The following is a 14401-nucleotide window of genomic DNA, read 5'->3' on the forward strand; positions in this document are numbered from 1 at the left end:
GTTCTTGTCTTTCTTTGTATTTTATGACTGATAGTTTTGAGGTACACGTCAGTTATTTTGTAGAATGTTCCTCAAATTGATTATTTCCTAATGAATAGATTCAGGTTGTATATATTTTTGGTAGGAATACTACATAAGTGATACATCCTCAGTACCTTAATCTTTTTATTTATTTATTTGAGACAGTGTCTTATTCTATCACCTGGACAACAGGGTGGACTATAGTGGTGCAATCATGGCTCACTGCAGCCTTGAACTCATGGGGTAAGCAATTCTTTCATCTCAGCCTCCTGAGTAGCTGAGACTACAGGTGTATGGCACCATGCCCAGCTATTTTTTTTTTTTTTTTTTAAGATGGAGTCTTGCTCTGTTGCCTGGGCTGGAGTGCAGTGGCACGATCTTGGCTCACTGCAACCGCCGCCTCCCAGGTTCAAGCGATTATCCTGCCTCAGCCTTCTGAGTAGCTGGGGTTACAGGTGCCTGTCACCATGCCCAGCTAATTTTTGTATTTTTAGTAGAGACAGGGTTTCACCATGTTGTTCAGGCTGGTCTCGAACTCCTGACCTTGTGATCTGCCCGCCTCGGCCTCTTGAAGTGCTGGGATTACAGGCATGAGCCACTGCACCAGGCCTATTTTTATTTATTTATTTATTATTATTATACTTTAAGTTTTAGGGTACATGTGCACAATGTGCAGGTTAGTTACATATGTATACATGTGCCATGCTGGTGCGCAGCACCCACTAACTCGTCATCTAGCATTAGGTATATCTCCCAGTGCTATCCCTCCCCCTTCCCCCACCCCACAACAGTCCCCAGAGTGTGATGTTCCCCTTCCTGTGTCCATGTGTTCTCATTGTTCAATTCCCACCTATGAGTGAGAATATGTGGTGTTTGGTTTTTTGTTCTTGTGATAGTTTACTGAGAATGATGATTTCCAATTTCATCCACGTCCCTACAAAGGACATGAACTCATCATTTTTTATGGCTGCATAGTATTCCATGGTGTATATGTGCCACTTTTTTTTTTTTTTTTTTAAAGAGACAGAGCCTTACTATATTGCCCAGGCTGGTCTTGAGCTCCTGGCCTCAAGCAGTCCTCCTACCTCGACCTCCCAAAATGCTGGGATTACAGGTATGAGCTAATGTGCCCAGCCTCACGATCTTTTTTTTTTTTTTTTTTTTTTGAGACAGAGTTTCACTCTTGTTGCCCAGGCTGGAGTGCAATGGCACGATCTCAGCTCACCGCCACCTCCACCTCCTGGATTCAAGCGATTATCCTGCCTCTGCCTCCCGAGTAGCTGGGATTACAGGCATCTGCCACCACACCCGGCTAATTTTGTATTTTTAGTAGAGATGGGTGGGGTTTCTCCATGTTGGTCAGGCTGGTCTTGAACTCCCGACCTCAGGTGATCTGCCTGCCTCAGCCTCCCAAAGTGCTGGGATTATAGGCGTGAGCTACTGCGCCTGGCCTTTTTTTTTTTTTTTTTTTTTTTTGAGACAGAGTCTCACTCTGTCACCCAGGCTGGAGTGCAGTGGTGACATCTCGGCTCACTGCAAACTCTGTCTCCCGGGTTCAAACAATTCTCCTGTGTCAGCCTCCTGAGTAGCTGGGATTACAGGCATGTGCCACCACACCCAGCTAATTTTTGTATTTTCATAGAGAGGGGGGTTTCACCACATTGGCCAGGCTGGTCTTGAACTCCTGAGCTCAGGTGATCTGCCAGCCTCGGCCTCCCAAAGTGGTGGGATTACAGGTGTGAGCCACGCACCCGGCATTCACAATCTTTTTAATAACCTCATCGTATTTTCTAATATGGATGGACCCTGGTTTATTATTCCCTTAGTGACTGACTTTATGATCTTTTCCTTTTTAAAATTATTACAAACCATGCTGCAGCGGACGTCTTTCTAGGTATCTCTTTATGCACACATGCCGGTGTTCTCCAAGAGACTCTTCCAGACCCCTCACAGACTGCCAGCTGTACCTTTTTTAGCAGGTGACTGAAGATATACATCTGTGCTAAAGGGGTCACTGGCTCCTTGCAGTTACTTCATGATTCCCCATGGTTTCTACTGGTTGGGATCTACTACCTTAGACTTACACACTACTCCTGACCCCTTTCACTCCCCTCTGCCTCAGGAGCCAGACAGTGACAATGAGTGGCAGCACCTGCTAGAGACCACTGAGCCTGTGCCTATTCAACTGAAGGCTCCTCTCACCTTGCTGTGTAATCCTGACTTCTGCCAGCGCATCCAGAGTCAGCTGCATGAAGCTGGAGGGCAGGTAATGGGGAGAAAGACACTGTGGATGGGATCAAGACTGTTTTCACAGATGGAGCATTGAAATACACTGACTTCAGGAGAAAGAGAAAGTTTGTCCTTTTCCAGTTCTTCAGTCTATCTGCTTAGTTTGAGGAGGTTTACCAACCTCCTTTAGTAACACAGAAAGAGCAGCCCTCAGGTTTCTTTTTCTGAAGGGAAAAATGCCTACTAGAATAGGGATCAAACTTTTTTGATGATAAATATTTTAGGCATTGTGAGCCACCAGGCAAAAATGGAGGATATTATGTTAAGTACTTACATAATGAGGGAAAACACATTTTCACTAATTTTTTATTGATGAAATTAAAAATATAAATGTAACAATTAAATATACAATATTTTGTACTACAGGTACACTAGTGAGAAGAATGAGGTTATTTTGCGGGGGAGAGGAATGACATTTTGCTTAATTAGCATTCAAAGTTAGTGTAAAGTTAGTGTTCCCTCCTACAAAACCTTACTTTGCTCCTCTGAAACACAGTGCTTTTCCTTCCTGGGTACTCGCCAAACTGTGTTGCTTATATCACTTTATTCAGGTATAATTTATGTATAAGATTTACACTTTTTTGATGAATGATAAATGATTTTTAGTAAATTTGCTAATTTAAAAACTGTTAACCATAGTTCAGTTTTAGAACATTTTCATCACCCCAGTAAAATCCCTCATACCCATTTACGGTTTTTTTTTTGAGACGGAATCTCACTCTGTCACCCAGGCTGGAGTGTAGTGGTGTGATCTCGGCTCACTGCAACCTCTGCCCCGCGCAGGTTTAAGCAATTCTCTGCCTCAGCCTCTGGAGTGACTGGGATTACAGGCTCGTGCCACCACGCCCGGTTAATTTTTTTGTATTTTTAGTAGAGATGGTGTTTCACCATCTTAGCCAGGCTGGTCTTGAACTCCTGACCTTGTGATCCGCCCGCCTCAGCCTCCCAAAGTGCTGGGATTACAGGCGTGAACCACCGTGCCCAGCCTTTTTAAAATTTATTTATTTATTTATTTTTAATTTTTGAGATGGGGTCTCACTCTGTCATCTAGGCTGGAGTGTTGTAGCACAATCTTGGGTCACTGCAGCCTCTGCCTCCCTGGTTCAAGGGATTCTCATGTCTCAGCATCTCAAGTAGCTTGGATTACAGGCGTGCACCACCATGCTTAGCTAATTTTTTGTATTTTTTGTAGAGATAGGGTTTTACCATGTTGCCCAGGCTGGTCTGGAACTCCTGGGCTCAAGTGGGCTCAAGTAATCCTCCCACCTTGGCCTCCCAAAGTGCTAGGATTATAGGTATGAGCTACTGCCCCCAGCCCCCATTTACAGTTAATCATTATTCCCCTTTTTATAGCTGGTTAGTATTCCGTTATATGGATATATCACATTTTGTTTATCCACTCACTAGTTGATTAGATATTGATGTATTGGGTTGTTTCCACTTTTTAGCTTTTATGAATAATGCTGCTATGAACATTCACAAGCAAGTCTATGTATGGATAAATGTTTTTATTTCCCTTGGGTAACTACGTAGGAGTAGAATTGCTGGTCATATGGTAAATTTATATTTAACATTTTAAGAAACTGCTGAACTATTTTCCAAAGTGGCTGTACCATTTTACATTCCCACCAGTATTATATGAGGGTCCTTGTTTCTTCACATCCTTGTCAACACTTGTTATTGTCTAACTTTTTTACTATAGCCATTCTAGTAAGTGTGAGATAGTATCTCATTGTTATTTTAATTTACATTCCACTAATGATGAATGTTGAACATCTTTTCATGGCTTATTCACCATTTGTATATCTTCTTTGGTGAAATATCTCAAATCTTCTGCTCAGTTTTTAATTTGGTTGTTTGCGTTATTGAGTTGTAAGACTTCTTTGTATATTGTCAACATAAGACCTTTATCAGATGGGTGATTTGCAAATATTTTCTCCCAGTCTGTGGTTTGTCTTTTCATTCTTTCTCATAAGAGTGTCTTTTGAAGCAAAAAATGTTGAATTTTGATTTAAGTTCAGTTACTGTTTTTTCCCTTTGTGGTTCATACTTTTGATGTTGTGTATAAGAAATCTTTTCCAAATGCAAGGTCTTAAAGATTTTCTCTTTTCCTAAGTTTTATAGTTTTAGCTCTTACATGTAGGTTTCTGATCCATCTTGAGCTAATTTTTGTATATAATGTGAGGAAAGGATCTAAGTTGATCGTTTTTGCATGTGGATATATAATTGTCCTGGCACCATTTGTGGAAAAGAACTCTCCTTTCCTCATTGAATTGGCTTGGCACTTTGCACTTGTCTTTTGGCGCTAACACGTTTTCCTCCTAGTGTTGGATAACTTGCAGTGTGGGGAGGCAGACTGAAAGCTCTGCCTTTAGGGATAAGACTCCCTCTGGTGGAATTCCAGCTGCACTACTCATTAGCTGCGTGATCTTGGACTACTTACTTGACTTATGCAGAAGCTTCAGTTTCTTCATCTATAAAATGGCTAATTCTATTTATTTCACAGGGTTATTGTAAATATTAAATGAGCAGATGCCAACATTTAGAACAGCTAATGGAATATTATAAAATACTTGGTGTAAATGTTCTTCTTTTGAAGAATAACCATTTAAAAATACAATACTGGCCAGGCATGGTGGCTCACGCCTGTAATCCTAGCACTTTGGGAGGCTGAGGTGGGAGGATCACTTGAGGTCAGGAGTTTGAGGCCAGCCTGGCCAACATGGTGAAATCCCATCTCTACTAAAAATACAAAAATTAGCTAGGTGTGGTGGTGGGCACCTGTAATCCCAGCTACTTGGGAGGCTGAGGCAGGAGAATCACTTGAACCCAGGAGGCAGAGAGGTTGCAGTGAGCCAAGATTGCACCATTACACTCCAGCCTGGAGGACAAGAGTGAAACTCTGTCTCGAAAAATAAATAAAGGGCAAAAATAAATAAAAATATAATACTATCCTTAGCATGCAGGCTGTATACAAATAAATGTTAGGCTGGATTTGACCTGTGAGCCATAGTTTGTCAACCCTGATCTAGAGTTGAATAATGTTGTTTTGTCTTTCTGTGGTTAAATAATATTGTTTTATATGCATTGTTTTGAATTTTCAGAAGCATGTGCGGTGCACGTGTTTTTTGTTTTTAAGGTGAAGGGCTGGAGAAGGGAGGGAGCAGATGGGAATGGCACTTAGTCTGACAGAGATCCTGAGGAGAGGCCCCTATCCGTTGGTCACTGGTGTTCTGTGTTAGGTAACCTGACCATCTATTGTCTTCTTCCCTGGTACAGTTCCCCTATTTCCCTGCTTTCCTTCTCTGTGTTTTAGACTTGCAAAGAAAGGAATGCAAGCATGTGGTCTGCTTTCCCAGCTCCTTGGGGATGCTTGGTATGTGTAGTTCTCCTTCTTTTACCTCTGAAAATATCAATCGTTGCCTCTTTCCCTCATGTCACCCAGATCCTGAAAGGCATCTTGGAGGGTGCTTCCCACATCCTGCCTGCATTCCGGGTCCTGAGCAGTCTTCTCTCCAGCTGCAGTGATTCTGTTGCCTTGTATTCCTTCTGCCGGGAGGCAGGGCTTCCTGGGCTGCTGCTGAGTCTACTCAGGCACAGTCAGGAGAGCAACAGCCTCCAGCAGGTAAGCACCAGGCCAGAAGCCTCTGAAGACTTACAGAGGTTCTTTTTCTTGGATTTATCTCATTCAGATTGCCATCTCTCTTTGGTCTGACTGCCTTTTATTTTCTTTCCTCCTCTTTCTAGTTAGTAGACTATTAATTGCAAACTCTAATGCCTTCTGGGGCCAGGCAGATAAGGTCTGCCATGAAGTAGGCTATGCATGTGACTATATGAGTTGTGGGGAATATGATGAACTAGAGTTCACATGCCTCCTCTAAATAGAGTAGAGGCATCCTTTCCTCAGCCTCCAGCCCATTGTTGCCACAGGGAAATATGGGCCTGAGAAAACTAGCCAGATCTTCTAGTTTTCTAAGAAAAGGTAGAAACCCAAATTTTTATGTGTAATTTTTAAATATTTAGAGCGCTGTGCTTTGAAATGTTAGATCCTAGGCTTCATTGACCTGATCTTACAGAGCAGAGTACTAAAATTCAGAGGTAACTCATACACAGTCACTAATTTGTAAATGGTCACAGAGATAACAAGTGGAAGAGCTGGGATAGAGACTCAATGTGTTTGGGGCCAAACCTCTACTTCCCCCTGCTGTGTCCTACGGTAGCTGGACTGAGAGGATGGGGAATGTTTCAGAGTCAGTGTAAATGCCTAATAGGGCCTAGGATGAGGCAGCTGGAAAGCTGCACTTTGTTGATGAGTATTAATCTTGGGTGATTTTAAGGAATTTAGAGAAAAAGATTTTTGAAAAATAGAACCTCCTATACTCCAAAATGCTATTCAGGCCAAACAAGACACATTTAATCCAGGCTGTTCACAGCCCATTGGCAGATTCTCTGTTACCCCTAGAACTCTCTCTCTGCCTATACTTCTCTTCTGTCCCTTTCTGTTTGATCAACTTGACTGGGTCTCTATACACCCTTTCTACTGTTTTTTCTATTCTTTGTTTCCATCCTTCACATTGCCCTTACTCTCTTCTCCTTTTCCTGGGCAGCAATCTTGGTATGGGACCTTCTTACAGGACCTGATGGCTGTGATTCAGGCCTACTTTGCCTGTACCTTCAATCTGGAGAGGAGCCAGACAAGTGACAGGTAGGATAAGAAGTGCTTTTGCATTGTTGGCAAGTTTGGCTTCTGTTTCTACCCCAAGTGCCCTTCCCATTTAGGAACAGGCCAAGTATGAAGAAGCTGTGATTTGTTACAGGTTTAGGAATCAGCTGAGTGGCCACTCATAGTCCTTTTAAGGACCCTAAGACAGCTCCAACTTGGCCTCAAGACTTACAGTTTCTAAGAGTCAGCAGTCACCATGGTCCTAAAATGGAAGGGTCAAGATGTGAATAACCTATTCCAGGAAGCCAATTGGATTAAAGAAAGAAAGAAAGAAAAAAAATATGCGAATAACCTAGAGAAAATGGCAAAGAAGGGGCTTGGAGGGTGTATGTGTGTGTGTGGCAAGGGAGAAGGGAGGAACATTCTGATGTGTCCCTTTGCAGAGATTCTCCTACCTGCCCAGGACTGACCCATTCACCACATCCAGGCTTTTAGTAGAGAGATAAGAAATCATGGGCTCATTTTCCACCCCCAGCCTGCAGGTGTTTCAGGAGGCTGCCAACCTTTTTCTGGACCTGTTGGGGAAACTGCTGGCCCAACCAGATGACTCTGAGCAGACTTTGCGGAGGGACAGCCTTATGGTAATCTGCTCCCACTTCCAGATTTCTGTGTCTCCTATCATTCTCCGTGTTTCTCCCATCCCCTTTCTTATGACTATGTAGGGTCAGATCAAGTTAATATGACAAACATTTGTTAAATTCCCACCATGCCATATGCCATGTGAGTAAGAAAAAGTGCCTGCCTTCAAGGGACTAGGGATAATTTAATAGGGGAGAGGTAAAGGGATTAAGGACAACAGTGAAAAGTACATTAGAACTTTGCATATAATACAAGAGCACTGCTGTATTTTATGAAGAAGATGCAGTTAACCACTGCAGAAGATGCACTTAACACTATTTGGAGTATCATAGAAGAAATCTCGAAGAAGGAAATCATCTCTGCTAGCATTTGAAGAATACATCGCAGTTTGCCACGTAAATGAGGCACAAAGTAGAAATTCTATACAGAAAGAGTAACATATATAAAGGCCCAGAGGCTTTAAGCAGTTTGGCATATTTCAGGGGACCACAAATAGAACGACTTCTTCTTGAAAAGACTTGCAGATCATCTAGTATTGTCTAACCTCGTTTGTCCTGAGGATTAGTAGACTATGCAGTTCTTTTCCCTAGATCCTGGAGGTAAGGGACAGGAGAATGGAGGATTGAATGAGAAAATAGCTGTGTTCTGACTAACCTCAGAGGAGATAGAGAGGAACATATATTTGTAAGGAAGTAAATAATTGCCTGGTCATTGTTAAAACTGGTAATTGGGAACATAGATCTGGACTACTACTTGCCTTTAGCTAGCATTCACTCAGACTTTCCTGGTCTGAGATCCTGTTTTAATATCCCTCACCCTTTCAAGTCAGAAAGCTTTTACTGTCTAACCTAAATTTTGGCCAGCAGTGACTCATGCTATTGGCCAGCACTTCTCATGTCATATGCTATGAATAGAATGGGGAGTTTGGAATAATTACCTCCTGAAATTCTGAATCAGTAGGACTGAGTTGGGAGGGACCCAGGAATCCCTAGGATTTCTTCTTTTCTTTCCTTTTTTTTTTGGAGACAGGGTCTCTCTGTCACCCAGGCTAGAGTGCAGTGGCATGATCTTGACTCACTGCAACCTCCACCCTCCGGGCTCAAGCAATCCTCCCATCTCGGCCTCTTGAGTAGCTGAGACTATGGGTGCACACCACCAGACCTGGCTATTTTTTTTGGATTTTTAGTAGAGACAGGGTTTTGCCATGTTGCCCAGGTTGGTCTCAAACTTCTGAGCTCAAGTGATCCACCTGCCTCGGCCTCCCAATCCCCTGTTGGGATTACAGGCATGAGCCATTGCACCTGACCCCTAGGAATTCTTATACTCACAGTCTATAAAAAATACTTTGAGAAACATCATCTAGGGAGCATCTGATCAGAGAATAGAAGGATTGACACCTAAAATTATTGTCCTTGAAGCATGAATGAAAGCAGTTCTAATGCATTTTTGGTGTGAAGAATGCTTAAAATTAGACATGTGTTTGCTTTGGTTTTTGTCCTCTTTCCTCAGATCCTCAGGGTTTTCTTGTTTTTTACACTAAGCCCAGTCTTCTGATGCCCTGATGCTACCTCTGCACTTCTCTCCTTTAGTGCTTTACTGTCCTGTGCGAAGCCATGGATGGGAACAGCCGGGCCATCTCCAAAGCCTTTTACTCCAGCTTGCTGACGACACAGCAGGTTGTCTTGGATGGGCTCCTTCATGGCTTGACAGTTCCACAGCTCCCTGTCCACACTCCCCAAGGTAACCAGAGTGGAGAAGGGAGGTTCTCTTGACTTACTTGTTGCATAGGTCAGGCTCCGCTCTTTCTATTGCCATCACCTAGATCGCACCTGGCATTTAGTAGGTGCTCAATAAATAACTGTGAACTGAGAGAATGAATGGGGATCTGAGGGAAACAAACAGACCTCATCCTGCATTCTTCCCACTCCCTTAGGTTCCCTACTCCTGCTGCCATGTCGGTGAGTACTGGTGCTATTGTCTAGGGCAAGAGCCTCAGGCCTTTGGAGTTACTCTTTGCTTTTCTCCACAGGAGCCCCGCAAGTGAGCCAGCCACTGCGAGAGCAGAGTGAGGATATACCTGGAGCCATTTCCTCTGCCCTGGCAGCCATATGCACTGCTCCTGTGGGACTGCCCGACTGCTGGGATGCCAAGGAGCAGGTCCGAGCTACAATTGGTTGTTCCTCTCATCCTACTGCCAGAGGAATTGAGGAGGCTAGCCCCAGTTTTTCAGAAAGGCAGAAAAACAAGCTTTTAAGCCCCTCCTTTAGTACTTCCAGAAACAGATGCTCCCACCCTGGGCCATTTGTAGAACATGATATAGCCAGAATCCCAGAGCCCATGGCCAGTTGGTGAGGGAGAGAGCACAGTGATAAACTGCCCAGATGGTGGGGCAGCTGATCTGAAGCCTCCAGTGATGCTTCCTCAAGGGCTGAGAATTCAGCTTTCCTGATCCCTGTTGGTCGGTAATCCTTTCCTCTGTACCTGGCTACACTGGGGCCAAACTAGGCCATGACTTTTGGTTCTCTATTGGTGATGAAGACTGGGAATAGAATGGGGTCTGAGGTTTCTGGTGAATGTGGGAAGAGTGACTAGGAAGAGACTGAGAGTCCTGATCATTTTGGACATATGTGAGGAATAGGGTTGTAATCATGTGGATAGGATTGAGCCTTCAGGTATGTCTCTATAGGTCTGTTGGCATTTGGCAAATCAGCTAACTGAAGACAGCAGCCAGCTCAGGCCATCCCTCATCTCTGGCCTGCAGCATCCCATCCTGTGCCTGCACCTTCTCAAGGTAATCCTCTTAACTCCTGGCATCACAGCTTTATTTTTAACTCCCAGTGCAGACAGAGAAGCAGAGAAACAGACCAAGAGAGGAGGACTAAAAGAGAGAGAGACTGAGAGAGACCATTTGAGACACCCCCTTGGAAGACTCCTTTCTGCTTTTAAATCTGTTCAACTGAGAGGACCCCACTGTTAGCCAGTCCTCAGCGGAACCGAGAAGGGTCCCTGTCTCACTATCTCATAGCAAGAGGCAGAAGGGGGTTCTCTCACACTCCCAAGTGTGGGTACCAGATCTTTTGAGGGGCTGGCCGGTGTTTCCGCTGAGCCTTCAATCTTGGAGCCCGGGGCCTGCCCTGCCTCACTGCCAGACTCCTTCCTTCTCCCTCAGGTTCTATACTCCTGCTGCCTTGTCAGTGAGGGCCTGTGCCGTCTTCTGGGGCAGGAGCCCCTGGCCTTGGAATCCCTGTTTATGTTGATTCAGGGCAAGGTAAGCCAGCTTCCCCTGGCAGCCCCACTGTCTCAGCCAGAGGTTGTTCTGATATCTTAGGTTTCCTTTGTAGGTAAAAGTAGTAGATTGGGAAGAGTCTACTGAAGTGACACTCTACTTCCTCTCCCTTCTTGTCTTTCGGCTCCAAAACCTGCCTTGTGGGTAAGTCATAAAGTAGGGTGTCTCCACAGAAGTCTTCTAGCCACATAGCTAACCCTCACAAAGAGTATGGGGAATGGTACCCTACAGCATATCCTTAGGAGGAATTGGGATAGAGAGCGTGAAGCTTTCTCTACAAAGAACAGACCTAGACTCCCATCAACTTTGTGCCTTGGAGGTAGACATGCAGCCTAGGTGAAGAACACCATGCAAGGGAGAGGGGAGGCCGCTTACCAACCTCCTTTAATACTGCTGCATCCCTTGATGTATCTCTTTATTCCAGAATGGAGAAGCTAGGCAGTGACGTTGCTACTCTCTTTACCCATTCGCATGTCGTCTCTCTTGTGGTAAGTTTTTAACCTTCACCCTCCTCCCCTTTTCACCCTAGCATCTACCCCTTGTGGAAGTGGGGGAGTCACTATCCAATTTGCATCTGTTTCTGGAGGCATTCTTTTGGACCAGGACAGAGACATAAATCCTCTCTGCCTGTCCTGAATGCCATTTAGATTTGGACATTCTTTCTCCTCTTTTACCTCTCCCACAGAGTGCAGCAGCCTGTCTATTGGGACAGCTTGGTCAGCAAGGGGTGACCTTTGACCTCCAGCCCATGGAATGGATGGCTGCAGCCACACATGCCTTGTCTGCCCCTGCAGAGGTGAGGCCCCCCAGGGAGGGCACAGACATGTTTTCTCTGAGTCAGACACTAGGACTGCATTCAAGGGGAAAAGACTGAAATGCCAGCAAGCCTGGAGTAAACTGAGGAATGGAAAAGGAATCAAGGAGCCCTTCCTTTTCTAGATTTGTCGCCGGATGATAGGCCCCTCTGAGCCCAGATTGATCTGGACTTTAGATTTCTTTTTAATATGCAGAGCTTCTAGAGAGTGAGGGAGGGAAGGGAAGAGGAAGGGTGACTAACCTGAGTTTTCTGAGTAGTGTGAGAACCCTGCCTGCTTCGTTCTCCTCCTCCAGAAGCTCATGCTCTTGGCAGAGTCCTTCCTAATGCATAATTTCACCTCTGACTGCAGCTTCCACTCTGCTTTCCCCACTTGTTCTTCTTAACAGATGGAAAAGGTGGCTGACATCCTGTGAATTCTTCAGGAACTCAGTCCATTATGTAGCCTTCTTTCTGCTTTCTCCTTTCCCAGGACTTTTCTTCCTTTCATTTTTAGACCCTTTGGAACTCATCTTTCCTTCATTTTGTAAAAAGAAGGATAGACTTTATAATCAAATTATTGTCATCCCTTTTTTTTTTTTTTTTTTTTTTTGAGATGGAGTTTCACTCTTGTCCAGGCTGGAGTGCCATGGCGCGATCTCGGCTCACCGCAACCTCTGCCTCCTGGGTTCAAGCGATTCTCCTGCCTCAGCCTCCCGAGTAGCTGGGATTACAGGCATGCACCACCATGCCCAGCTAATTTTTGTATTTTTAGTAGAGACAGGGTTTCTCCATGTTGGTCAGGCTGGTCTCGAACTCCTGACCTCACATGTGATCCGCCCACCTCGGCCTCTCAAAGTGCTGGGATTATAGGTGTGAGCCACCATGTCCAGTCTTTTTTTTTTTTTTTTTTTTTTTTGAGACGGAGTCTTATTCTGTCGCCCAGGCTGGAGTGTAGTGGCACGATCTTGGCTCACTACAACCTCCGCCTCCCAGGTTCAAGTGATTCTCCTGCCTCAGCCTCCCAAGTAGTTGGGATTACAGGTATACACCACCATGCCTGGCTAATTTTTTTGTGTGTTTTTAGTAGAGATGGGGTTTCACCATGTTGGCCAGGCTGGTCTCGAACTCCTGACCTCAAGTGATCCATCCGCCTCAGCCTCCTAAAGTGCTGGGATTACAGGAATGAGCCACTGTGCCCAGCCTGCCATCTTTATATATGTAGAATTCTTTTTTTTTTTTTTTTTTTTGAGATGCAGTCTCACTCTGTCACCAGGCTGGAGTGCAGTGGCGTGATCTCGGCTCACTGCAACCTCCACCTCCTGGGTTCAAGCGATTCTCCTGCCTTATCCTCCTGAGTAGCTGGGACAACAGGTGCACACCTCCATGCCCAGCTAATTTTTGTATTTTTAGTAGAGACGGGGTTTCACAATGTTGGCCAGGCTGGTCTGGAACTCCTGACTTCCTGATCCCCCCGCCTCAGCCTCCCAAAGTGCTGGGATTACAGGCGTGAGCTACCTCAGTGGCTGAATTCTTTATAATTTATAAAACATTTTCACATGTTATCCCACAACACACTTGAAATATAGACACACCAATGTAATAATACTCATCTGCTTTTTCTAGACTAAGTTAGCCTTCAGAGAGGTTGTATCACTAGTGATAGCACTAACACTCATCCAGAAGTCTAAGTCAGAACTTTGGGAGTCATCAGTGACTGTTCTCTCTTCCCCATTATTCCCCCACCGAAATGGTTCCCCCAGGCCCCATATATTCTACCTTCCGGTTGACTCTCAAATCTGTTCCCTCCATGGCACCATCACTGACCTGCCTTGGTTTAACGGACACCCCATTCCTCTTAGGCACCTGCATTCTTCATGTTTCTCTCTGACAGGTTCGGTTGACTCCACCAGGTAGTTGTGGATTCTATGATGGCCTCCTTATCCTTCTGTTGCAGCTCCTCACTGAGGTACAGATGGATCTTGGGATGGATGGGAAGTAAAGAGAGAGGAACTGGGCATTTTGGGGAGCCTCTGGACCAGAGGAATGAAGAAGCAACCCACAGCCTTCCCTCTCAAGCTACTGTGCCTGTGATAGCCTTGGAACTTCCCCGCCTGCCCTCAGTACTGACCCTTTGAAGGAAACCATTCGCTGCGTCCCCTGGGATCCAGTGGGAGATAAAATGAATTCCCTGGGTTTCAGCAGACATACACATGAGTTGTGAGGTCAGAGGGTTAAGGTTTGATAAGAAAATGAAATAAGACGACAGGGAAATACTAGGTGGGAAAGCGGAAGGAATTATTTCTGGGACTTCCTTTACTTGTAAGTCAGGGACAGGAATGAATAAAAGCATTTGGATTCCTGACTTCTGTCTTTCCCCCCGCCCTCTTTCACTTTTATCTCTAGCAGGGGAAGGCTAGCCTAATCAGGGATATGTCCAGTTCAGAAATGTGGACCGTTTTGTGGCACCGCTTCTCCATGGTCCTGAGGCTCCCCGAGGAGGCATCTGCACAGGAAGGGGAGCTTTCGCTATCCAGTCCACCAAGCCCTGAGCCAGACTGGACACTGATTTCTCCCCAGGGTATCTTTCTATCAGTATCCTTTTTGGGAGTGCATTGATCTCTCTTCAAGAGGAGGCAGCCCAGAACTGGGTTAACCCACAGAGGTTTATTTTTTTTGCTTTTGCCTGGGGACAGGAAGCAGTGTCTGC

At 45.0% G+C, this 14401-nt stretch overlaps 1 protein-coding gene across 7 annotated transcripts in view, besides 1 other annotated feature; it reads left to right on the forward strand.

The window, feature by feature from the left end:
• Positions 1-14401, forward strand: part of STK36 (serine/threonine kinase 36) — a 30632-nt gene that overhangs the window by 10856 nt on the left and 5375 nt on the right. For 2 of the 7 annotated variants that reach the window (XM_011510959.3, XM_047443931.1), the window contains exons 11-23: positions 2144-2287; positions 5756-5935; positions 6945-7015; positions 7509-7614; positions 9202-9352; positions 9642-9769; positions 10299-10403; positions 10782-10880; positions 10954-11042; positions 11323-11386; positions 11584-11694; positions 13586-13660; positions 14098-14272. In XM_011510959.3, the coding sequence (XP_011509261.1) occupies positions 2144-2287; positions 5756-5935; positions 6945-7015; positions 7509-7614; positions 9202-9352; positions 9642-9769; positions 10299-10403; positions 10782-10880; positions 10954-11042; positions 11323-11386; positions 11584-11694; positions 13586-13660; positions 14098-14272 (1498 nt within the window). Of the gene's footprint in view, positions 1-2143; positions 2288-5755; positions 5936-6917; positions 7016-7508; positions 7615-9201; positions 9353-9641; positions 9770-10298; positions 10404-10781; positions 10881-10953; positions 11043-11322; positions 11387-11583; positions 11695-13585; positions 14057-14097; positions 14273-14401 lie in introns of those variants that run through there. The other 5 variants (NM_015690.5, NM_001369423.1, XM_047443932.1 and 2 more) reach the window with 3 other exon arrangements.
• Positions 4609-4778: a silencer, noted in NCBI's record as "silent region_12324". NCBI's record gives its function as "represses an Ori minimal core promoter by ATAC-STARR-seq in GM12878 lymphoblastoid cells {active_cell/tissue: GM12878}" and the evidence as "EXISTENCE:reporter gene assay evidence [ECO:0000049][PMID:35858748]".

This window comes from Homo sapiens, chromosome 2 (genome assembly GCF_000001405.40).
Source record: "Homo sapiens chromosome 2, GRCh38.p14 Primary Assembly".
NCBI lineage: Eukaryota > Metazoa > Chordata > Mammalia > Primates > Hominidae > Homo > Homo sapiens.